At 53.6% G+C, this 23281-nt stretch overlaps 1 protein-coding gene across 36 annotated transcripts in view, besides 5 other annotated features; it reads right to left on the bottom strand.

Moving 5' to 3' along the window:
- The window catches only part of TBCD (tubulin folding cofactor D), a 193850-nt gene that overhangs the window by 49036 nt on the left and 121533 nt on the right, over window positions 1-23281 (bottom strand). For 25 of the 36 annotated variants that reach the window (NM_005993.5, NM_001411102.1, NM_001437989.1 and 22 more), the window contains 3 exons: window positions 12677-12734; window positions 7182-7211; window positions 3247-3332 (listed from right to left, as the gene is read on the bottom strand). In NM_005993.5, the coding sequence (NP_005984.3) occupies window positions 3247-3332; window positions 7182-7211; window positions 12677-12734 (174 nt within the window). Of the gene's footprint in view, window positions 1-888; window positions 915-3246; window positions 3333-3682; window positions 3767-5165; window positions 5526-7181; window positions 7212-11942; window positions 12091-12676; window positions 12735-13038; window positions 13870-19897; window positions 20099-21028; window positions 21295-23281 lie in introns of those variants that run through there. The other 11 variants (XM_047436621.1, XM_047436625.1, XM_005256404.5 and 8 more) reach the window with 10 other exon arrangements.
- Window positions 817-1076: a silencer, noted in NCBI's record as "fragment chr17:80853679-80853938 (GRCh37/hg19 assembly coordinates)". NCBI's record gives its function as "represses an EF-1alpha promoter that drives an FKBP-Casp9 reporter gene in an ReSE screen in phorbol 12-myristate 13-acetate-treated (for megakaryocytic differentiation) K562 erythroleukemia cells {active_cell/tissue: K562(+PMA)}" and the evidence as "EXISTENCE:reporter gene assay evidence [ECO:0000049][PMID:32094911]".
- Window positions 11000-11798: an enhancer, noted in NCBI's record as "H3K4me1 hESC enhancer chr17:80842957-80843755 (GRCh37/hg19 assembly coordinates)". NCBI's record gives its function as "activates a minimal SCP1, AML or CMV promoter by ChIP-STARR-seq in naive H9 embryonic stem cells {active_cell/tissue: H9 hESC(naive)}" and the evidence as "EXISTENCE:reporter gene assay evidence [ECO:0000049][PMID:30033119]".
- Window positions 11847-11896: a silencer, noted in NCBI's record as "silent region_9232". NCBI's record gives its function as "represses an Ori minimal core promoter by ATAC-STARR-seq in GM12878 lymphoblastoid cells {active_cell/tissue: GM12878}" and the evidence as "EXISTENCE:reporter gene assay evidence [ECO:0000049][PMID:35858748]".
- Window positions 13397-14194: an enhancer, noted in NCBI's record as "H3K27ac-H3K4me1 hESC enhancer chr17:80840561-80841358 (GRCh37/hg19 assembly coordinates)". NCBI's record gives its function as "activates a minimal SCP1, AML or CMV promoter by ChIP-STARR-seq in naive H9 embryonic stem cells {active_cell/tissue: H9 hESC(naive)}" and the evidence as "EXISTENCE:reporter gene assay evidence [ECO:0000049][PMID:30033119]".
- Window positions 20227-21426: an enhancer, noted in NCBI's record as "MED14-independent group 3 enhancer chr17:80833329-80834528 (GRCh37/hg19 assembly coordinates)". NCBI's record gives its function as "activates an origin of replication core promoter dependent on BRD2, BRD4, P300/CBP and CDK7 cofactors, and independent of MED14, by STARR-seq in HCT116 cells {active_cell/tissue: HCT116}" and the evidence as "EXISTENCE:reporter gene assay evidence [ECO:0000049][PMID:35650434]".

Here is a 23281-nt window from a genome sequence, read left to right as displayed (position 1 = left end):
CAACACCCCCAGCGCCGGCAAGGACCCCAGATCCCGGACCCCGAGCTCATCCAGCACCGGGGGCGCGTGGCACCATCACGCCGAAAGCCATGTGGCCATTTCAGAAAAAGCTACAGGCAGGGTGTGGTGGCTCACACCTGCAAGGCCAGCATTTTGGGAGGCCAAGGCAGGTGGATCACTTGAGACCAGGGGTTCAAGACCACCCTGGGCAACATGATTTGTCATCTCCACAGAAAAATACAAAAATTAGCCGGGCGTGGTGGCGTGTGCCTGTAGTCCCAGCTACTCGGGAGGCTGAGGTGGGAGGATCGCTTGAACTCAAGAGGTCGAGGCTGCAGGGAGCCGCGATTGCGCCACCACACTCCAGCCTGGGTGACAGAGCAAGGCTCTGTCTCAAAAGGAAAAAAAAAAAAAAAAAAAAAAAACTGACAGCACAGCCACCCAGCTCTGGGCATCTATGCCAGAGAACAAGAGTGCAGGCCCAAAGACAGATGTGTACACACATGTTCACCGCAGCTGCACCTGTGACAACCCAGACAAGACACTGCCCAGAAGCCCCTCACCAGGTGAGTGGAGACAGACGCCACGTACCACACCCCTGGCCCTGGAGGCTCGGGGGACGGTCCCCACAGGCGGACAGTCTGCAGGAAGCATGGAGCAGAGGAAGCCAGTGTGAGTGAGGAGAGTGCCCACTGCCTGAACCCATTCACACAGAGCTTTGGGAAATGCAGACACAGCTGCAGTGAGAGCAACAGACCAGGGGTGCCTGAAGAAGGGGGTGTGGGAGGGGAGGGACCCCGAATGGGAAAGGGGAAACCTGGGCCTTTTCTCGTCTTGATTGTGGTGATAGGTACGAATTTACAGATGTTAACATTTACAAAAATGTACCTATTGAACATGCACCAGCTTACTGGGGGTCGTTTACACCCCAACGAGGCTGTGATGATGAACAGGAGAGTGGGGCGACGGCTGGTCCCCCCATCCTCCTCGTCTCGCCCCACAGTCTTCCTGGGGTGCCCGTTAGTTCAATTCCAGTCTGTGTGTCCGAAACTCCAATTTGCAGAGGAAACATCTCCATGTCAGCACGGCTGATGCTTCCTCGCAGGCCAGCACGTGCAAGCTGAGGCCCCAACCTCCTCGCACTCAACGACACTGTCGCCCTCAGCTGTGCCCTCCACCTGCGGAGTGATGCCAACACAGCTCTGAGACCCTCTGTAATGCCCTGGCAACTCCCACCTTCCTCCAGCGGGCACACCTCCAGGCCCCCAGCCCTCTCCCGTCTCCCAAGAGCCCTCAAGCCCTCTCCTTATTTCCAGTCACCAAATACAGCCACAGGGATATGTTCAAAACAAAGACCTGACCATCAAAGTGCCATGACCTCAGGACAATCCACACTCTTCACTATGGCTCAAAGGCCCCCAGCAGCTCCCCGCCAGGGCCCAGGGCCCTGCTAACTCTCCTCCCTGATGGGCTGTGCTCAGTCCCATGCCCTCTGCTGAACAGGACCACTGCCTCCCTCACCCCAAGGTCCAGGCTGACAGCAGGACCCTGCCTCGGGTGCAGGGGGGCCCCGCGGTACTAGGGTGCAGCCATGACTGCAGGTCCCCGTGATGCCGCCCTCAGGATTGGAGGGGCCTGCCTGCCGGTGCGTCCTCACAAGTGGCATCTGGTCTGCACGCAGGGCCTGGCATCGTGAGGAAGCCAAACACACTGGGGGAAGACATGCCTGGACCCAGGTCTTGGGTTGGCAAATGTTTTTATAAAACGCACACAGCTAATTACATGCGAGTTTTAGGCTGGCTTAGAAACCTCAGCAACAAGGGAAATATGCTGAAGCTTCCCATAGCTGTCAGGTGTGTTACTCAGGAAACTCGGGAAAAGGTGGTAGATTGTCTTTTTCTTTAGATGGAGTCTCACTCTGTCACCCAGGCTGGAGTGCAGTGGCACGATCTCGGCTCACTGCAGCCTCCGCTTCCCGGGCTCAAGTGATTCTCCTGCCTCAGCCTCCTGAGTAGCTGGGATTACAGGCACCCGCCACCACGCCTGGCTAATTTTTGTATTTTTAGTATTCACGGGGTTTCACCAGGCTGGTCTCCAACTCCTGACCTCAGGTGATCTGCCCGTCTTGGCCTCCCAGAGTGCTGGGATTACAGGCATGAGCCACTGCATCGGGCCAGTAGATTTTCCACATAAAATATATGGCCAAGTATTAATAGGAAAGAACTGATAAGGCAAAAAAGGACATTAAATGTTGAGGAAACCTGAAAGGGTATAAAAATACAGATAAGTGTGTTCAAAGATCCTTCCTGGGAAAGAGGCCAAATGCTACATTTTCAAAATTCTGCCCAGGCTGGTGACGGAGAAACGTCCTTTCTGCACGGTCTACACAGCAGGGCTGTTGGGGAATCGATCTTTAGGGTATTTAATGGTTAATGTTAAAAATGCATCGGGCATGCTTCTGGTCCTAATTTAAGGCAAATAAATCACTTCATAAAGTCACACCCCACTGCACTCCAGCCTGGGCAACAGAGCTAGATTCTGTCTCCAAAAATAAATAAATAAAGTCACACCCTTTTTCACATTTCTGCTGCAATGGATCAACTAAGATAACTGAAGTAACCTCCCCAGTACCTAATTACACAACTAAAACAGTTTGATATAATTCTGTAAACTGCAATTAGAGGTGCTAAACATTTGTTTCTAACCTGATTTCTAAAATACCTCTTACTCATTTCATAGACAATCTACAGATAACTTCAACTTCAAAACACTTCCTATTACCGAAACAGAAAGAAACAGTCCCTTCTAATCCAAGATTTCACGGTGGGAAAGCATTTAGGACATCCAGTAGGGAAGCATCAGGAGGAGGTGTGGCCGTGCTTGCAGCTGCTTCCTCTCAAACTCCAAGCCCCACACAGAACCAGCACGGGTAAAACGGGGCGACCAGGAGAAAAATCATAAGCAGAGACAGCACTCACGGCAAGGCCGCACTCCTGAAGCTGAGCCCCTCTTTAACACGTGAGTAAATGTCCCCTATCTAGCGTAGTAAAGCATGAGGTGTGTCCAATCAACATGAAACACAAGTTTCAGTCACTGTTCCCAATTCCATTTTTAATTTTTCACACAAAAACTACATTCCATTGAGTGGACATTACAGGATGAAAAAAGAAAATGGTGGTAGCTGATTTCTGACATCCAATCTGATTTTAGAGTATTCTATTTTTGTGATATACATTAAAGACTTACCTTATAACCAGGAAACAGTTGGATCTGTTACCGACGGCAAAATAGTCAGCTGTGGTCAAAATATCAATACCATGAGGGAAAGTGCCCTAATAAGAAAGTGGAAATGGGGGAAAAAGAAGAATTTGAATGAACAAAGGCATTTCACCAAGTTCAATAATCACATCCACAGACATTTACACTCATGAACCCCGAGCCCTGAGGCAGGTGGTGAGCAAGCCACACACCACAGACATGGCTCGCCGAGGACTTCCACGTCACACTGACTTCCTGACGGTCTACCCAGGCAACACCACGCTAAATCATTGAAACCACTCACAAGTATTTCATCTTTTTCAAACAACTCAAACATTTCCACTTCGGTACGTGGTAAGAGACCTTTCCCGAAAACATACACCGTAAACGGTCTTCAGGTCTCAACAGTGTTACAGCCACTGACCTCCATCGGCCTGAGCCCCATGCCACAAAGTGCCACAAAGCTGGCAGGTCGGTGCACACCAGAGCGAGCAGGCCTGGGTCAGGTCGGGGATGCAGCCGCCTGCACGGTCTACAAAGCCTGGACCAGAGCCCAGGCCTCACTCAGCAGTCCCGGGCAGGCAAGACGTTGACTGGGGGCAGCTGGCCCAGCCGGTTCTTGGGGGTGGTGACAGCTGACCCCAGAAGCATCGAGGACCAGCAGCCGCCGAGGCTCTGACATGGGAGAGGCGGCACCTCCTCCCACCCCGCCACGACAGCCTCCCAGTGGAGCCCCAGCTCCAGCCCCGCAGCCTACATGGTGTTACTGATACCACTCTCAGGTTCCAGGATGTGAAATTCTGGAAACAACATAAATAATTTCCTAAGAAAATACAAATGACAAACTTTAAACCCCACATAGAAAGCCTTACAGCTATAAACCACAGCAGGGTTTTTCAAAGGTCTCCCAAGCCTGCCCACCTCCGAGGCCGGGATTCAGATCCTTCCTTGACGTCTTTAACCCATTCATCACCACCCTGCACTTGACCATTAAAACCTCACACCTTCATGTAATAGCTTCGCAAGTCAACGTAACTGAACAGCCAGCACTCCTGAGAACACCCGGGGCCACATCCCTCCTTCCCACCAGGAGAGGCCGGAATGAGCAGGTACCATGCGGCTTTCTTCCAGCAAATCTCTCCCAAGGGTTACACTGGGAGCTTGGGCTGATGGAGATACCATAAACTTCTGCCTGAGGCTGCTGCAATCAGTGACAGCATGAGCATCCTTCACTGAACCGTGAACAGGGGAGAAACCTGCACCCAGGTGGAGCTGTTGCGGCTCACTCTGCAGAAAGACAGCAGGTGCCACAACCTGGGATGTCGCCCACTGGGGTACAACTCCATGCCCCACATCACAGCAGGCAGGAGCCCAGGGAAACATCCGGGGTGGCCCAGGACCAGGTCTCACCGAGAACAAGAACAAGGGGACTCTGTGTCCAGCATCCCCCCACGGTGAGAACAAAGCAAGACCAACACAGGGGCCAAGGCTCTGTCTGGCCAGGCTAGGGCTGGAACAACAGGCTCCGAGCAGACAAAAGCGGGCTCAGCTGCCCTGAGCCTCAACTTCCTCACCTGTGCAGGGGGGAAGTGGGGGGCCTGGGTGTGGACAGGCCACCACAAGGGCCTGATGGTGTCGGGGGCCTGGACAGCACTCGCCTAGGAGCAGGGTCATAGGGCTGGAATGTCGGACAGGCCCTGAACGTGGAAGCTGCCCATGGGTTAGTCACAACCTGCTCAAGAGCCCCTGGGCTCAGTAGGGAGAAGGCAGAGACCACTCAGGACCAGAGTCTCCAACTCCAGCCAAGACGAACCTGGACAGAGAAGCTGGTCCCTCGTCTCTGCCCCCAGCCCCCTCTGTGTCCCCCAGGCCGCTCCCCAACCACCCCCCATCCCTGCTGCTGTTACCCAGCGGCCTCCACTGTAACGCATTTCTTACAACTTCATTCCAAATCTGTGTATTAGAAACAGCCTCCTCCAAATCCGAGGGTTTTTAGGCTGCTTCCCTGTGTGCTATGCGACACGTCCACTCCCGTTTGCTTTGCCTTGCCAAGTTCTCGACCTTCTTCTCAAATGTTTCTATCCAACCTCAGCAGGACATGGCCGTGCGGGGCTGGGAGACGCTCCGCACCTGCGCGTCTTGCATTTCTTTCAAAGTCTGTGTCTCTTCAAAATCTGTGCCGCTTCTTCCACGAGGCTCCCGCTGCCGTCCGCATGCTGGTCACTGTGCAGGATGCTCTGAGACTCACACTGCTCAGGCTCAGGACTGAGGTGCAAGACTCCCGCACCCACGGGAATATCCCATTTTCTGGCTGCTTGCCTAAATTTAGACCAAGTGTAAAGGCCTTTCCTTTCCCTGTCAATCAATCCCCAACCTGAGCTGCCCCGATAAAGGTAACGTGGCTCAAATCCAGCCACACACACAGGGAGGCTGGTCAGCTCAGCTGCAGGGCCCCGTGGCTCCCTATGCGACTGGGCTGCTCCTCCCAGGAAGCAGCATCTGGGAACCCGGAACACAGAGTGATGGCGGAGTGCGCCCCAGGGCCCACCCAGCACGGTCGTCACCCCGGGCTCTGGCCTCAGCACGCCCCTCTCCAGTGGGGGCTCTGGAGGGGCTGGAAGCCCAGGGACAGGGAGACTTCTTCTCCTGGGCTCTCACTTTCCAGGAAGCTGGCAAGTCCCTAGGCTCAGCTAAGTGGTTTCCAACAAGCTCCTTCTTCCTCACAGCAGCCACACTCTCCACTCAAAAGACCAAACCTCGTTCACATTCTCCTTGGCCTGGGCGGCTCTTGCTGTCTGCACACCCAGGCTCCCCTTGCAAGGCTGGTGTCTCTTCCTAGTGAACTGGCTCCGACCAGGGCTCAGGGCTCTGAACACATGCAGGCCCCACGGCACCCCAAGGATGCTGGGTGGGCCTCGGCTGCCTCGGGCCAGCAAGAAGTAGTCACGCCCCTTCCTGGGCTCCGTCTACAGAAAGCCGCCCACACCACTCACGCCAGGCTCCTCCAGAACCATTTCAATAACAGGCGCAAGTCCTCGTCCGCCCGCCTCTCCAGCTGACTCTGGCATCCGGCTTTTCCTGTGGACTCATTTGGCCTCAATGCTTCCACTCCAGGTCAGACACCTTGCCTGGAGGGCTCCCCACAGGTCAGAAGGGTCCGCAGGCCCACGTCCACCCCATGCCGCCCCACACCACCTGGCCACAGCCCAGACCCCGGCTGCATTTGCTTTGCTGTCCGGGAACTCCAGAGCCTTCTCGGCTGACTTCTCGTGGGAACTTTGCTCCCCGCCCAGGTCCAGCCCAGACCCCGGTCCCCTCTCCGGCCTCTGTCCCACTCTCCTGCAAGACCCAACCACACGCCCAAGATGTGACGTCATCACACACAACATGAGTAACCTGGGGCCCCCCATTCACAGGCGAAGCTGACCAGTGACCAGATGTCAGGGTCAGAGGGCACAGCAAAAGCAGCCCCAGCATGATGTGGGGTCGTGGGGTCATGGGGTCCGTAGCTTCTGGGAGCTGACTTCTGGGCCCGTCTATGGTCTGGATGAGGCACAAGCTGACGTCAACAGAGCCAGCTCCTGCTCTGTGTGGGATGAGGCGGGGTCAGGTCTGCGTCCCCGCAAGGCCAGGCTGGTCCCAGGGACCCGCCCCACCCTGCAGAGCCACATTATGTGGCTCTTGGCAACGTGTAAAGCACAGCTTTCCGGCCTGTGTGTGTAAATTACTGTACATGCAGGTTCCCTGTGAAACAGGACTCGCTGTTTAACATGTGCGTCCTATAGTGAACTCATGACCCTGGCATTGATGTAGCCACACCACATCTCACAGTGCGAGAAGACACCAGGGTTATAGCTCTCAAGATTCCTACCTATAAACCCGCAGGAAGTTTTTGGAATAAAGGTGTTTGAAAGCAGCCATACCTGTCTCCCCACATTCTCCTGGAAGGCGGCCTGCGGAGCAAAGAACAAACACAGCAGGTGAGCGAGGTCAGCTTCCGCCAACACCAGAGGCAAGTTCAGAACAAACAGCACAACGTGAATGACCCACGGCTTTATTTTTTAAATAAAAGCCCTCATTGTTGGCTGAACAGAGCCTCAAGGTGCGTCACTCTGTTTTTACGTCCTGGTGCTCTTTAAAACCACAATTTAAGAATTCAAGTTTATAAAATCAGACACATCCTGAAAAGTGGCCTTTACCACTGAGCCTCCCAGCAGCACCCACGCGGAGGCCCCGGCTGTCAACTCAGAGAGACAGACAGGCAGGTTAAATCAAAGCCCAGAGCCCGAACACTCTTCCTCAGGAGTGAGGCAGCTCATGGTCACCAACTGGCACCACGTGCCGCCCTCCAGGGAGGGCGCCCTGCCCGCACCCATGGCACGGTGTCAATAGGCTCTCCAGGCCGAGTCCCAGGGCCGGGCACAGGCCCAGAGCAAGGGCTGCTGAAAAGGTCAAAATGTGAACTTCAACAGGATGAAGTGCTTCCAGGAGGCCTCTCATGTCCTCCCCAAACACCCTGCCCCCCTTAGGCGCACCGACCAGGCAGAGCAGGTTACCTGGGCAAGGTGACAACCACACCTCCCTTCCCATGTGTCACCAGCTGGTGCCCCGTCCTTCCCAAAAGCACCCGGGCTCCGAGTTCTCAGGGCTGGAGACACAGGAGACTTCAGTGTCCCAGGAAGACCCAGCAAAGTGCACCCACGGCCACACCACACACACCACCAGCAAGGGGCGAGGCCAGGGAGGCTGGCGGCTTCAGGGACCACGCTCTGGAGGAGCGACCTCCCGCCTGGCAGGATTCCTGCCAACACTCGCCTGGGGGCTTCCTGAGAGCAAGGTTGAGCGATGGCTGCTGGGAGGAGCACACACAGACGGGCACCAAGTAAGGAGCCGAACACAGCCACCCAGGGTCTGTGCCCCCACCCCCCAGGGAAAAGGAGCAGACGCGCCCACCACCTCTGGCCAATCACACAGAAACCAGACGTGCGGGTGGCTCCAAGGCAGACCCCTGGGCTGGGCTGGAGATTGGAGGAAACAGGCGCTTCACAGCAGGCTGGGAGGAGGCCTGACTGCTGCTTTGCAAATTTGTAACTTTTGTGATAAATTCATTAGGAAAGTAAGAAACAAAACCCGCCAAAAGGCAATGCAACAAAGATATACTGTAACATCAATTTAACATACACTATTAGGAAGACATGTACCATTCCAGTGGTATCTAAAAGATGTTTTAAAAATTCAAGATTTATGTGGAAAAGCACAAGCCCTAAAACAGGGAAAACAGTCCTGAGAAAGAAGACGCTGGGAGGCATCTCCCTGCCCAGTGCGAAGGCTGACTATGCACAGCAGCATCGCAGCACAGCCCGTCACACAGTGTGCGCTGGCAGAACAGACACGCAGACCAACCAGCAGAACAGAAAACACGGGACAGCATCCCCGGGACCGGGCGAGGTGGAGTTCCCAGACCTTAAGAAAGTCTTCACGTCTTAAAAAGCACTAAAAACATGAGCCACAAAAACAAAAAACTGATCGAGACCCCAGCAAAATTAAAAAATTAAAAACTCTTGCCCTATGAAGAGGACGGAAAGATGAGCTACAGACTGGGAGAAAGCCAAACGCAAATCCAACAGAGGACCAGAATCCTACATATGTAAAGAGTGCCCTAAACTCAAGAACTACAAAAAACAATCCACTTAGAAATGAGTAAAAGACCTGAGCAGACATTTCACCAAAGAGGAGGTACAGACGGCAAGTAAGCCCGTGAAAGATGCTCCACACCATCAGGCATGACAGAAACGCAGGTAAAGACCACAACGACGTATCACCACATGCCTGTCAAAAAGGCCGACACAGAAAACAGTGGCCATGTCAGACACAAGCGAGGACAGAGAAAGGCAGGGCTGCGGGCAGGTGGTGGTGCGAACGTGAATGGTGCAGCTGCTCTAGAAAGCAGTTTAAATGTCCAACTACCACGACCCAGAAACTACTCCTGGCATTTAACCCAGAGAAATGGAAGTTACACTCACACGAAAACCTGAGCACGAATGTTTACAGCAGCTTAAAGACTAGAAACCATCCTGATGTCGTAATACATGAATGGTCACACAAACCACGGCACCACTCAGCAACAGAAGCAGCAAACCAGCACCACCCACCACGCTCGGGGTGGGTCTCCAGAGAGCTGTGCCGAGAGAAGAAAGCTACAGCATTAGAGGCCACAGAGTCCATTTACACAGCATTCTCGAGATGACAGAATAGAATAGGCAACGGAGAGCCGACCGGTGGCTGCCAAGGGTCAGGAGAGGGAAACAGCAGGGACTGTGGGCAAAGCAGTAGCACAGGCCTCTCGGGAAGACAGGGCTGCTGTGTATCCTGATTGTGGTGGTGGATACGTGAATTTGTATGTGATACAATCACACAGAAGTAAACGCGTGAGCGCACGTGCGCGCGCGCGCACACACACACACACACACACACACACACACACACACAGAGTACAGGTAAAACCAAGGAAGAAGGAATAAGACTGGTGGGTTGGCTCAATGTTCTAGGCTGTGATGTTCCATTGCGGTTTTGCCAGATTTCATCATGGAGGCAATGGTGAAACACGCATGGGCTCTCCCTGCATTAGTCTTTAAAACTCCATGTAAATCTCCGCCAGGCACAGTGGCTCACGTCTGTAATCCCAGCACTTTGGGAGCCGAGGCAGGCAGATCACTTCAGGTCAGGAGTTCGAGACCATCCTGGCCAACATGGTGAAACCCCGTCTCTACTAAAAATACAAAAAGTAGCCGGGCATGGTGGTGCACGCCTGTAATCCCAGCTACTCGGGAGGCTGAGGCAGGAGAACTGCTTGAACCCGGGAGGCCGAGGTTGCAATAAGCCAAGATCGCACCACTGCACTCCAGCCTGGGTGACAGAGTGGGAGGGGAGGGGAGGGGAGGGGAGGGGAGGGGAGGGGAGGGGAGGGGAGGGGAGGGGAGGGGAGAAAACTGCATATAAATCTCAATTATCCCAAAATAAAAAGTCACAAATAGAGGTCAGACACTATGTATCAAACGAAATGCTGGAAGAAAAAGATTTAAAATCTTCTCAGTTAAATGTAGGCTTTAAGTGCCTTTACTTTAACTGTGAGTGAACGGGGCCCCATCTCCCTTCCTCATGATGAACAAGAAGCCACGACCACACCCCATCTCTACTGCCCATTCCTTCCCCGCCGGGAGACATGTCTTCTTGCAATGTCAGCACGTTTGGGGGTCTGCTAGATTCCTTCCAATATGCAGAAAAACCAGCATTCAGCAACGAACACAGCTGGAACTGTTTTCACAAACTCACTCACACACTGACTGCCTGAGTCGCCATGCTCCTGCCAATGCTGAGAACCAGCTGCAGCACCTTCCTCACAGCGTTGCTGGGAGGGTCACAAACCATGGGATGGACGACCGCGGCCAGTCTTGACATGGGAGCACCAGGGCAATGCAGGGCGTCTAGAGTTCAGGGGCAAGGGACCGTGTCCAGCCCCAAGGAGGGACAGGACTTCAACGCCTTTTGCTGCTGCCTCCTGGCCGGTGCTGAAGAGGCCTCAGGGCCTCACAGGGGTGACCTCACCCAGTGACACAGCGTCAAACAGGAAGCCAAGCTGAGCCAGAAAGACCGAGACATTGTTATCTGAAAGCAGCAGCTCCAAAAAATGATTCCCAATTATGAGGCCCTCAATCCTCACATTTCCAACTAAGCTTCAAAAAGGTGTCTTTTACCTTTGGCTGTTTTAATTTTGCAAGCTACAGGGTAAGCTAGGTGCACTCGGTGGTATTTATCAGAAAAGATTTATTGCCAATTTAAAGGGATTTTAATGTGAAAAATGATTTATATTATTTCACTTCATATTCAGGGTTCATAGAAGCCTAAGTACTTTAATTTTATTACTGCTTCCCATGAAATGTCTTAGGTTGCAGTAAAGAAAATCTAAAAGCTTAATTTAAGTACAGATTTAACATAAAATTGTATTATATTTCAAAGTCTTACATTTACTGCCTTTGGGTAAATAGCAGGGCAAAAATGTGATGATTTCCCCAAAAAATTATGAGGTTTTTACTGATGCTGAAGACAAAATAAGAGCAGCTTCAGGGACAGAGAAGAGCTTCTGAGCTCTCCTGGTGAATTCTCTCTAGTTTTAAAGGACCTGAGGCAGAGAAAGACTTCTAACTACTTCAGGATACAGAGAGCAGGCAGACCACCAGAAGCTATAGAAGATGACAGACATTTTGAGCTAGAAAGACTTCAGGGTATCATCTGAGCTCCTGCATTTGAGAGAGAGAGAGAACCAACACTGCACCTGCACGGCCCCACTCACCAGGGGCCACACACTGCAGGGCTGACAGGAAACCATCACCGGTCCCAGCACCCCTTCCGCCTGGTCCCACTCACCAGGGGCCACACACTGCAGGGCTGACAGGAAACCCTCACCAGTCCCAGCACCCCTTCCACCTGGTCCACTGGCCCCCAAGTCTGACAGTATCAGGGAGTGTGAACGGCTCCCTCAACAGGTTCCCACTAAGCCAGCTATGCTGAGCCTGCACACAGAGTTCCAGCAGCTCGAGCCCATGAGGAACTGTGGGGCCCACCCCATCACCAAAAGCCAACCTCACCCCTCCATCTTTCTCAAAGGGCTGCCTCTCTGTTCTTACCCTCTTAAAACGTGTTCAGCGTCTTATCTGTATCTGAAATAAAGACTCTTATCTTGAGACTGGTCCACCGTCTCAACTGTCCGCTCTCTGTGGTCCCAAGAGACACAGGCCTCACTCCAGCCCAGCTCTGAGCCAAATGAAGTAGTCTGCTCAGCGCAGCAGCAGTTGCTACAGCTCCTCACACCCAGAATTCACCCCAAACGTCACAGGGCTCTCTCTAGAGGAAACCAGCCATCTGTGTTCAAGACGCACCCGGTCCTGCAGGCAGCTCCCACATCCAGCAAGGCCCAGGCGAGTGTGGCGGGTGAAGCAGAGCTGACCACTGCTCGCAACAGCCCCTCCCGAGGCTCAAAGCCACCCGGTGAGTGACCCGTCCCGCCGCCACATTCTGGCCACCCTCGCAGAACCCACTCTCTTCTGCGTCTTCAGCGTGCAGCTGCCTGCACCAAGACCTGTCATCGGGCACCTCCCACTCGCCTCCATCACCCATCAACCCCCAGCAGTGATGGCTGCAGCTCTGGGGATGCTTAACCCTGACCGCCCTTCACACGCTGAAGACGCCCAGAGACAGTAAGAACCAGTGGCCTGCCCGCAGCTGGCACTCTCAGCAGCTCCCTCGCGGCTCCTGCTGTGGATGGGTGAGCTGGCCAGGCAGCAGTGCACAGAGGAGCATCAGGGAGACCAGGCCCACCCCCCACCTTCAGGAAAGGAAATATCAAAATGAGAAAACTTACAGAGGCTGCTCTTCTGCAGTTTATGTCTCGGTCAAACACCGCAGCAATCACCAGTGCACTGTGAAAAAGAGAAAGGATTAATTAAAAAGAAATTCTGCAAAACAGTACAGACCACACAGTATCGATGAGAAAGCCTTTCTCTCACGACTCAGGCCCACTTGAGGTTCAGACATGCCCCACAGGCAACACACAGCTTGAGGCACCCAGGGACTGCAGACAGACACATGTGACCCCCAAGACACCAGACGCCATGTGGGAGCTGGGGGTGGCCGACCCTGGTTCTAACGAGAGCCACGAGACGGTGCACACCGAGGGCACAGGATCAAAGAGCCACGAGGACAGGGCCTGGGGGCAGAACGCACCTGGCCTGCTGTGGTGGGGCGGCGCAGGAGGTGGGGAGGTCCAGTGAATGAAAAGACAGAAACGGAGTGCCCTGGAGGACGAGAACTGGCAGCGTTTGGACAGGGGGGCAAACCAAGGTGGCCGACACAAATGCCCCGGGGCAGGGGCTGTCCAGGTCCTGCAGACCACGCCATGCACAGAGCCTAACCCTGCAGAAACACATGAACACCCACCGTGCCCAGAGGGACCTGAGGCCCTGAAGACAAGGCGTCTGGCAGAGGCCCCTTCCACAGAGTGGCAGGAAAACCACCGCACCACACACAGACGCCAAGGCGCTGCCCCCATGCGAGCCACACTCAGAGCAAGGCCTCTCCCGGCCCCCACCAGGCTCCTTGGGCTTCATTATGTCCTCTTGTGAGATCACCCAGCTCAGTTACTGTGAATAACCCAGAACGCTCTCATCAGGCGTTGCACAGAACACAGGGGGTTTGGGGCAGGGTGGAGGACAATCATCCTTTCTAAGGAAGGCTTGAGAGATTGCGCCTCCTACCAGCCTAAAGGGAAAAGGTGGAAAACAGAATTTCAGACACGCGGAGATAAGCGGCCTCCAAGGCCGCCAGCGCCTCCGAGGTTCCTGGTTTCCAGGTCTTCCAGGGGCCAAGTGCTCTGCCTTGTTCCAGGGAAGTTGACAGACCTGAGCCGTGGGGCGGGGCCCGCGTCAACATGAAGGACGCCGGGGACATGCACGGGGGACAATGGTGACGCCAGGTGTGCGTCCTCTCACCAGCTCTGCTGTTAAGCTAAATGTGAAAGATACATCCAGCTAAGGAAAAGTGAGCAGGTCCCACTGCAGAGAGAGCAAGCTCCGCTCCAGCCCGGTAGGGCGGGCACCGTCACCCGCTCCAGCCTGGCAGCGCAGGCACCGTCACCCGCTCCAGCCTGGCAGCGCGGACACCGTCAGCACCACATCCTGACTTCCGGGGCGTGTGTGTGAGGCGCCGGCCCTGCCAGCCACAATGCACATGACATCCCGTCTGTTCTCCTGTGTCTCGCACTGTCTGTCGCCCCAGACCCAGACCCAGACCCACTGGCCTTGCTCTCCGGTTTCACAGCATCCCGCCTGTTCTCCTGTGTCTCACGCTGTCTGTTGCCCCAGACCCAGGCCCACTTGTTCTCCAGATTCACAGCATCTCGAGCCTGTTTTCCTGCATCTCGCACTGTCTGTCACCCCAGACCCACTGGCCTTGCTCTCCAGGTTCACAGCACACCTCTCAGGCAAGGGGCTCACGTATCCTCATGTTCTCTGCGCTCCTCTCTCCTCGGCCCCATGAGTCCCCAGGGCATGGGCTCGGGGATGCTGAGCTAGGAGACCTACAAACTACAGCCACAGAACTGAAACTCGGGGGCATTTATCAGAGAGAGCACTTGTCCCCCAGCCTCCAGTGCTGGGCACAGGTGCCCGCTCCAGGCCCTGGAGATGGCCCAGAACACGCCACAGGGCCACAGTCTCCTCCAGCATGTCCAACGTCAGGGGCTGGGGGGGAATGGGCTTGACAGCGGGGTGCTGGGCACAGACTGAAGGAGGCAGGAGAAACAGGTGGGAAGGTCCCATGGGTGCGAGTGGGTCTGAGTGAGCAGCCCACAGAGGTGAGCCCACAGCAAACAAGGAGGAGCAGGACAGCTGGCCCCAGGGCCGGTTGAGAAAGTCCTCCCTGCGGCTGGACTCTGCACTTCCTCGGAGAAGCTGGGGCATGTGACTCGGGCCTTGTGACCAAGTGCTCTGCTGATGGGGATTTGGGACGCCCAACCATCCAGGAGCCCCAGGAGAGGCCAAAGGTTGGGTGGGGCAGCAGCCAGATGGCCAAGAGGGCCTGGGTTCTGGGGAAATGCCTGCAAGTCTCACAGGCTCTGCCTAGGAGGGAGGGAGGGAGGAAGGGAGGAGGGGAGAGGGGGGAGAGACAGAGAGAGAGAGAAAGGACCCCTAGAGTGTGGTCACTGAGAACCACAATAAAAACAGAAATTCATAGATGGAAAGGGTAGGAAGTTAAACTAACAATATAGCATAAACATAGGAAGCATCTTTTGAAATAAGAATGGCAAATGAAATTAAATAAAACAGAAACAACATAATACAAACCACCAGGTGCATTTTCCACCCCAATCAAGCTCAGACGTGCCGAGGCCCAGAGCGGGCTCCACAACGACATCAACGCAGCCCAAAACACGGCCACCAACCATGGGCAAAGCCAGGAGGGCACGTAGGCACGGGGTACCCCAAGGCTCAAGCAGAGGGGCCCCTCCAGCCCCAGCAGCAGGCAGCAGGCCCGTATCGGCTGGGAGCGAGAAGCTTCCATCCAGAGCGGGTGCGGGGCTGTCAGGAGTGGCCTGGCAGCTCTCCCCGCTGGCTGCTCCAGCATCAGCACAGCCCAGACCCACGTTCCGGGACCTCCCCAGGATGCTGCAGAAGCTCTGCACCCCTCATCGGCGGCAAGCGGCCTGACCGAATGAGCTACCGTTTACTTGGTTTAATTACTAACAACCACGGATCACCAGTGGATAAAGCGTTTATCTCACATTTTAGAGAAATGTTTGCTTATTGCAGGGACAATCTGTGGTCTCAGCGTGGAAAGGCCCTCTTCTACCACAGGGCCGCTTCTCAGCTCACCACCGGGCCGAGAGAGACCCCAGCGTCCAGGCCACAGCAGCAAGCCCAGGTGGTTGCAGTGTCCAGCCAGCCTTGCAAACAGACGCCAGGAACCAGAGCCAGAAAAAAAACAGAAGGATGGAGCCCAAGGGGAATAGGGTGGGAGGCTTCTGAGGGCTGGGGGAGGCCCTTCCCAAAAGCACTGGCCTCCCTGCCCTGAGGCCCTGCCCTGTGTGGCCACAGCCACAAACAGAGCCCAGAGCTATGGGAGTACACGGCCTCCTTCCCCGAGTTCCGCCTGGAGCCATCCAAAGTCTACCCCTCGGCCACTTGCTCACTCACACTGCAAGGATGGCCACAAACCACCACGCTCTGCACCCTGGGGAGACGGCAACAACAAAGTCCCTCACGTACGGGCCACTGCTATGCTCCGACAGACCCTGCGTCCTCCCCGCCCAGCCCCTCCTGCTCCTGTGGACAGACGGACGGACAGACAGGTGTCACTGTGTGGGGAGCCTGCGGTAGGGACCCTGCAGTTCCTGCTGATACCTCCGGGCCCAGCACCTCCCAACACCACGGAGGCCCACCCGCTACCTGCCCTGAGGGCCTGGATGCCTCCTCCTGCCAGATCCTTGGGGCATCCAGCAGCACACCCAGGTCTTTCAGTTCCTCCACGTAAACAACAACAAAGTCATAAGCCCAACTACCCTGGTCACAGCATATCTGTCCCCACCCTTGTCTTCAGCAGAATAATACCCACTCCCAAAGATAAGGGTGTCCCACTTCAAACATGTTCCTTTACCTGACAAAGGGGAATTAAGGTTGGCAATCAGTTGACCCTAAGATGGGGAGAGGGCCCTGGATTACTCCTGCAGCCCAGCGGGTGCCGAACACAGTGGTACACACCAGCGGCCCTGGCTACACCTGTGCTCCATCTGTCTGTGGGAGGCAGAGGCAGGAGGATCCCTTGAGCCCAGGAATTTGAGTACAGTCTGGGCAACACAGCGAGACCCCATCTAGACAGACTGATAAGTAGACAGGTAAGGAGATAAATACATACAGGAAGGAAGAAGGAAGGACAGACACAGGAGGCAGAAGAAAGGACCACAGGCATAGGGTACGTGAAGGATGAAGCGAGACGTGGACGTGGCTGGCTGTGAAGGTAGATGAAGAGCCCATGAGCAAAGGAATGCGGGCAACTCAAGCAGGGAAGCAGAGTCTTCCCTTGAGCCCCCCTGAGCCTCCAGAAAGGACTGGAGACACCCAAGGAGACAGGTAGGCCTGTGACCGCCAGGTCCGTCCAACAATACACCACTCCAAAAAAAAAAAGGAAAGATCACTGGGATGAGTCTTAAGGGCACTGTGCCAAGTCAACGAAGCCAGAATGAAAAGCCTACTGATTATTTCCGTTTATAAGACACTCCAGAAATGGTAAACTATCAGGACCAAAATCAGACCAATGTTGGCCCAGGGTTGGGGAGCAGACTGGGGAGTTTTTGGGGGAGACGGACTGTCCTGTTTGGTGCTTGAGTTGTAGAACACAACCACATGCAGATTGAAGAAGCAACAATCACAGACCTGGGGAGCCCAGCACAGAGGGAAGCGGCAGACGTGTCTGCATCCCGGACCAGCACAGAGGGAACCGGCAGACTTGTCTGCATCCCAGACCAGCAGCACCAGAAGGGCTCACCCGAGCGATGGCCTGGCAACGCTATGCCCAGGGTGAGGAGGATGCACAGAGCGTCCCACCCTGAGTGGTGAGTCTGTTGCTCACACAGGTGTGGGCTGGCAGCTCCAAAATCACGTCAGATGCATGACGGCAGACGCACGGCAGCAGAGCGTGCTACACAGTAGGCCCAGAAGCGGCACACGAAGGGAGGCCAGGAGGAAGCTGGGCTAGAGCTGGTGTCTGTGCAAACATGGACTGTGAAGAGGGGCACACACTCAGCTACAGAGGGAGGGGACCTAGAGGCAGCTGAGGCCAAGCCCGGCGTCCTGGATTCCAAATACTGTTCTCCACCGAGAGGATGTGAGACTCCTGGGAAGTGGTGGATGCTAGGGCTGGGGCAGGGGCAAAAAGATAAGCCAGGTGCATCTTGTGGTGCCAGAAGGAAAGAAAAAAGGCTCAGGAAAAAAGAAAAAAAAAAAAAAAAAAAAGAACAGGATCTTGCTGAAAGGACACAGAAGCCAACCTGAAGTGGCCAAAGCTGGAGCAATTTGAGCAACATTAATAACAATAGTTAGTGTTAGATTATAACTCAAACAAAACTAGTAACAATAGTGTTAGATGATAACCCCCAAACAGGATGAGCACCCATGAGTCCACACTGGCAGGAGCGAATGATGAAATAAAGCTGGGAGAGGAACGAGCCTTCCTTAAGAACAAGCTGCAATCACTGAACGTCGGGGTGGGGACACAGGAACCACCACCAGACCACACAACAAGGTCTTTGGACAGAGCTCGGATGGGGTGAAAACCAAAGGAGAAACAGCAGGATGTTGCATAACCTTCGAGTACCCCACAAGAACACTGCTAGTTACAGAGGAAAACACAGTCTCCTCAAGTGGAGGCACCTGGCAGGCCCCATCTTGACCAGGGATCAAGGTCCAGACCACGCAGGACCCGTTGTGGGGCACTATATGGGCCCAACAGCACACGGAGGAGGGCAGGTCACCTCACATCACTCTTTCCAGTAACACACGAGAAAGCATCAGAGAGAGGGGCGTCCTACAGAACATCTGGCCAGTCGTCTCTGGAGGTCTCAGGGTCAAATCCACAGGGGCGGAAAGCAGGCTGGCAGTGCCAGGCTTGGAGCGGGTGACGGGACCTGGTGCACATGGCTTCTGTCTGGGGTGAGGTCTCCTCAAGTCTGAGAATACACTAAAAACCACTGAACTGTGGACCCTAAAGGGGTGAATTTTATGGCAAGTGAATTCATCTCAATAAAACCTATTTTTTAAGTGCCCCAAGATCAAGAAAGATAAAGACTGAGGAGCTCACAGAGCAGAGGAGGCTGAGGGCACAGGACCACCAGATGCCATGCGGGGTCCCGGGCAGACCAGCCTGTTAGTGGCCTTTATCCCACACTGCACTTCCTGGCTTCCAAATGTGAGATGTTCACATCGGAGAATGCTGTGGAGGGTCTAGAAGAACTCCACTGGTTTTGCAATTCTTCTTTAAGTCTAAAATGAGTTCAGAATTAAAAGCTATTTTGGAAAGCAACTAATTATCTAAAGATCTTAAAAGACCCAGGATTAGTATCTGGGAAACTTTCTGTTAACACTGCTTTCACTACTTGAAACTGAAAATTTTGACTTTAATTTCAGAAAAACTCTATGAACAGAAAAGCACTCCATTTTCCTCTCTATACTCTTTATAACAAACTATAGCCTAAATAAGAAGAGAAAAATACTGGTTTAAAATTAAAGGGAACTCACGTTACATTAGCACGAACGTTTTAAGATCAATCCTATTTCAATACATCATAATGGCTTTTGTTAATGATATCTTAGAAATCATTAAACTGATCAAGACATATGAATGTGATCTTCTAATAACTAAAAGTTATATAACTACAGCCGGGCGCAGTGGCTCACGCCTGTAATCCCAGCACTTTGGGAGGCCAAGGTGGGTGGATCACGAGATCAGGAGTTCGAGAACAGCCTGGCCAACACAGTGAAACCCTGTCTCTACTAAAAATACAAAAAACTTAATCGGGGGTGGTGATGCGCACCTGTAATCCCAGCTACTAGGCAGGCAGAAGAATTGCTTGAACCCAGGAGGCGGAGATTGCAGTGAGCCAAGATCGCACCACTGCACTCCAGCCTGGGCGACAGAGGAAGACTCCGTCTCAAGAAAAAAAAAAAGTTATATAACTGCTATTTTTAACAACAAATGGCAGTTTATTCTAAATCTTTTCAGAATGCATAGAAATGTGTGTCATATTTACCATATGAACAAGAGTTTCATTTTTTGAAACCTGTAAAGCCACGTGTTCTAGGGAAAAATATGAATCAAGAATTTCTGGTTTCCTTTAACATTTGCCACAAGAGGAACACAGGCTTCTATCTTTATTGCCGCCGGCTCCAGCCAATACTACTGAAAGGTCACATGTTACACTGAATTCTTGAAATGTGTTATTTGTTTAAATTACTATATTTAAAGTGTGGAACATTGATTAATGAAGAAAGAATGGAAAAAAGAGAAGAAACTTAAAATCATCTACCATCCTCACCAAGTCTAACCCTCTAAGGTTACTGTTGTTCAGTCCACTTCAACAGCTCCGCTCAGGCAGTCAGACCGGCTGACAGCAGGAGACGCAGGCACTCCCGGCTCCCTCTCCCGGCAGTACTCAGCAATTTGGACACAGACCACAGGGCTGCAGCAGGCAAAGCTGGCCTCACTTCAGCCTGGCCCACTTCAACGAAGCTGGCTCCTGCCATGAGAAGTCAAAATGGTTGCTGTTGCGTGTATATTTTACTGAACCTCACAGAAAATACAGCAACGCCTGAGAAACGCTGTTTTTAACTAAACACAGACTCCCAAGTTAATTCGACCAATCAACTATATATGGACTTACAACAAATTTAACACTGTCCTGATTTGGACATTTATTAAAACGGCTCTATTTTCTCATTCTCAGAACAAAACTGGCTCATCGAGAAATAAATACAAACAGGTTTAATGATGCTAGTTAAATATAAATATAAAAGCTCCTTCCTAAAGGACTACTCCAACAGGACACCCAACGTCCCACGTGGGCCTCTCAGTTTCCCTTCGCAGGAACACCCTGAGTGAGTCACCACGTTCATCTACCATCCCCGGGAACCTGGAGAGAGACACTGCGAGGCCGCGAGAAGGGCCGGCCTGTCTGCGCTGAAACGTGCCCTAGGTGTCCTCGCCCGTTTGCTTTCGCTGGAGAAGTTTATGTGATACTTCACCAGGATTTCCCAACACAGAGAAATGGTCTGTGTCAAACAGAAAGGGATTCTCTTTCCTGTCCGAGTCAAGGGGAAGTGCACGCCTCGACTTGTCCCAAGCTCCAGGCACCTCATTTTCGGCAGGTACAGCAAAGTGCAGACCTCACCCCAGCTCAAGTTTTCTTATTTATATAATATTTTATAGCAATAAAAAGCCAAATACACTGTTTTTACCTTAAGAAACAATAATTCTGTGTCATTTGAAAGTCAGACATTTAAAAAATATCAGACTAGTAATTTGTTATTTAGCCATCCTGTTTTTTGAAAGTTGCAAATCATATCGGACCTGCCTATGGCTGAATTTTCCTAACCCCCAAGAACCAAAGCTCACACTAATCAACACAGTGGTAAAACACGAGAATTTTTTAAGTGCTTTCGAGTCACACCTGAGCTGACGTGGAGGCAGGATTTGCCGGGTTTCACAGGGTTAGGACTCTGCTCGGTAATGGCCACTTAACTTTTCTTGAAAAACACGTGTTGTCTTCCCCTGGAAGCTGTGCCACTGAGCAACACCGGTGAGGGAGAACAAGACGTAGCTCTGAGCAATGCCTGCCATTTCCTGATTTTCCAGGACAATCCTGCCCCCGAGGAAGAGATCTCGGATCTGCAGGCCTCGGCGGATCCTCCCTGGGCCGCGCCGCTCAGCAGGTTTGCTCGAGGTGGAGGCCGAAAGTCAGAGGCTGCCCCCTGGCAGGGGAGGGCCCCGTGGCTGCCTGGGCGGAGCTGATGTCAACATGAGCTGCTTACAAAAGAGTTTCAGGTGAGGAAATCACTGGACACACAATGGCAGCAGCAGCAGCGTAGGGCTCGGCTTTCTTTTCCTTCTTGCAAATTAGACTGTGATTACTGGTTAGGAGGGATTTTGCAGATAACACATAACCACTCTGTCCCACTTTAACTTCGCACTGTCACTGCCCCTAAATTGCACTTGGCTTCTCAGGGAAATCCATTCACTACTCCAACAATTATCCCACCTCTTAAGCTACCCGTGTGCGACACTGAGGAAATCAGGTTTTCAAAACCAATGCTACCTTCAACACATGGTAAAAGTTACCTACGAAGCTCCTTCTGGTATTTATAAAACAGGAACAGTATAAATTCACACCATGAGGCAAAAGAACAGTTAATCCAAGTTTCTTTAGCAAAAAGCTAGGAACCAATTAGAAAAAGTGAGCCACTAAACCCCCGAACTGACTCTCAGAAGAGCCAGGCACCTGAAGAGTGAGGAGCGGCTGCTGCCACCGCCCAGCTCGATCAGGCATTTCCATTTCCCTGCGAAAATTCCACTCTGATGCTCTGATCCCAAGCACCCACTGTTACAGGACCCACCGAAGAACTTGTGAAAGTTAGAGAAATCAAGATTGTATCACGTTCCCAAATTGACGGGCATAAAAGCTGGTAATTAAAATGTGGTCACCTATGACAAACCAAGGGAGGGAGATCTGGAAGGGCACACCCCAACCGATACCCGGGTGCGCAGGGCTCCTGGGCAGGGAGGCTCGCACCAGCAGCATCCCACACGCTCACCTGGTGCAGCCTGACTCACAGCCCGCCCGGCCGGATGCCTGGAGTCTGCGTGGGCCAAGGAGGGATGGGGCCCAGGTTCTCTAAGAACCCGTTGGACAAGCCTGACACCCAGGCCGGCGGGCACGGCTCCAAGGGCACCCTTGGGTCTGCGGCCGGGATGGCACAGGTAAAGGGGCGAGGGGCACAACGCCAGCTCCAGGCTGAGGCGTCAGAAGCCTGTGAGCTGCGAGCCCTGAGGCCCCAGCAGCTGCTGGCTCGGTGTGCGCAAGGGAACCCGGGAGCCATGGTGGAGACGCACCCAGGACCTCCAAAAACCAAAGCCCCACGAGATCAAAGCCAAGTGGGACCCAGGCCAACGCTGGCCCCGCCACATGCCGGGGAGGCCCTGGCTGTGCAGTCCAGGCTACTCCAGAAACTCACATCCTTCTTCAAGCCTGCAGCCCACAGTGCGTCCTACAGTCCTTCAGGCCTGAGAAACTCAGGAGTCCCAGGACCCCCTTGCACGCCCACCCAACATGCCCCAGACAGAAGTCACACTCACCCCAACCCCACCTCCCACCGTGGGACCCACACACACACAACCCCCAGGGAGCACCCCACAGCATGATGGGCTCAACCCCACACCCAGCTGGGCAGACCACGACCATGCCCGTGCCGGTCCACACGTGGCAGCTGCTCCAAAAGAGGAGCCCCAGTCAGGACCCTCACGGGGCCAACAGGAGGCTGTGCAGGGGCGGCTCAAGGGGCTTCAAAGTGAGAAAGATGACCCTGGAGCAAGAGGGTCCCCTGTGGAAACTGCACAAAAGAACAGGAGTCCAGCCCTGAAGGTTCATGCCTGAGAATGTGCGAACAGATCACTGAGTGGCCCCAGCCTCTGTGAATCAGGCCTAAGAATAAGCGAGCAGGCCACCGAGCGGCGCCAACCTCCATGAAGCACGGGGCCCGCCTGCACCAGGACCTACCGACCGGCCGGCCCCCAGCCCTCCACACCCAGACCAAGGCCAGGCTCCCCGCGCATCGGCAGGTTTTTATAGGTATTTTACTCTGGAACGATGACATCTAACGTTGCCAAAGGCAGAAGTTATGTATCTGCCTGTCCAGGACCTTAGGTA

The sequence above is a fragment of the Homo sapiens genome, chromosome 17 (genome assembly GCF_000001405.40).
Source record: "Homo sapiens chromosome 17, GRCh38.p14 Primary Assembly".
In the NCBI taxonomy this organism is placed as follows: domain Eukaryota; kingdom Metazoa; phylum Chordata; class Mammalia; order Primates; family Hominidae; genus Homo; species Homo sapiens.
The sequence above is the reverse complement of the archived record's forward strand: the minus strand, read 5'-3'. Positions and strand labels throughout refer to the sequence as shown.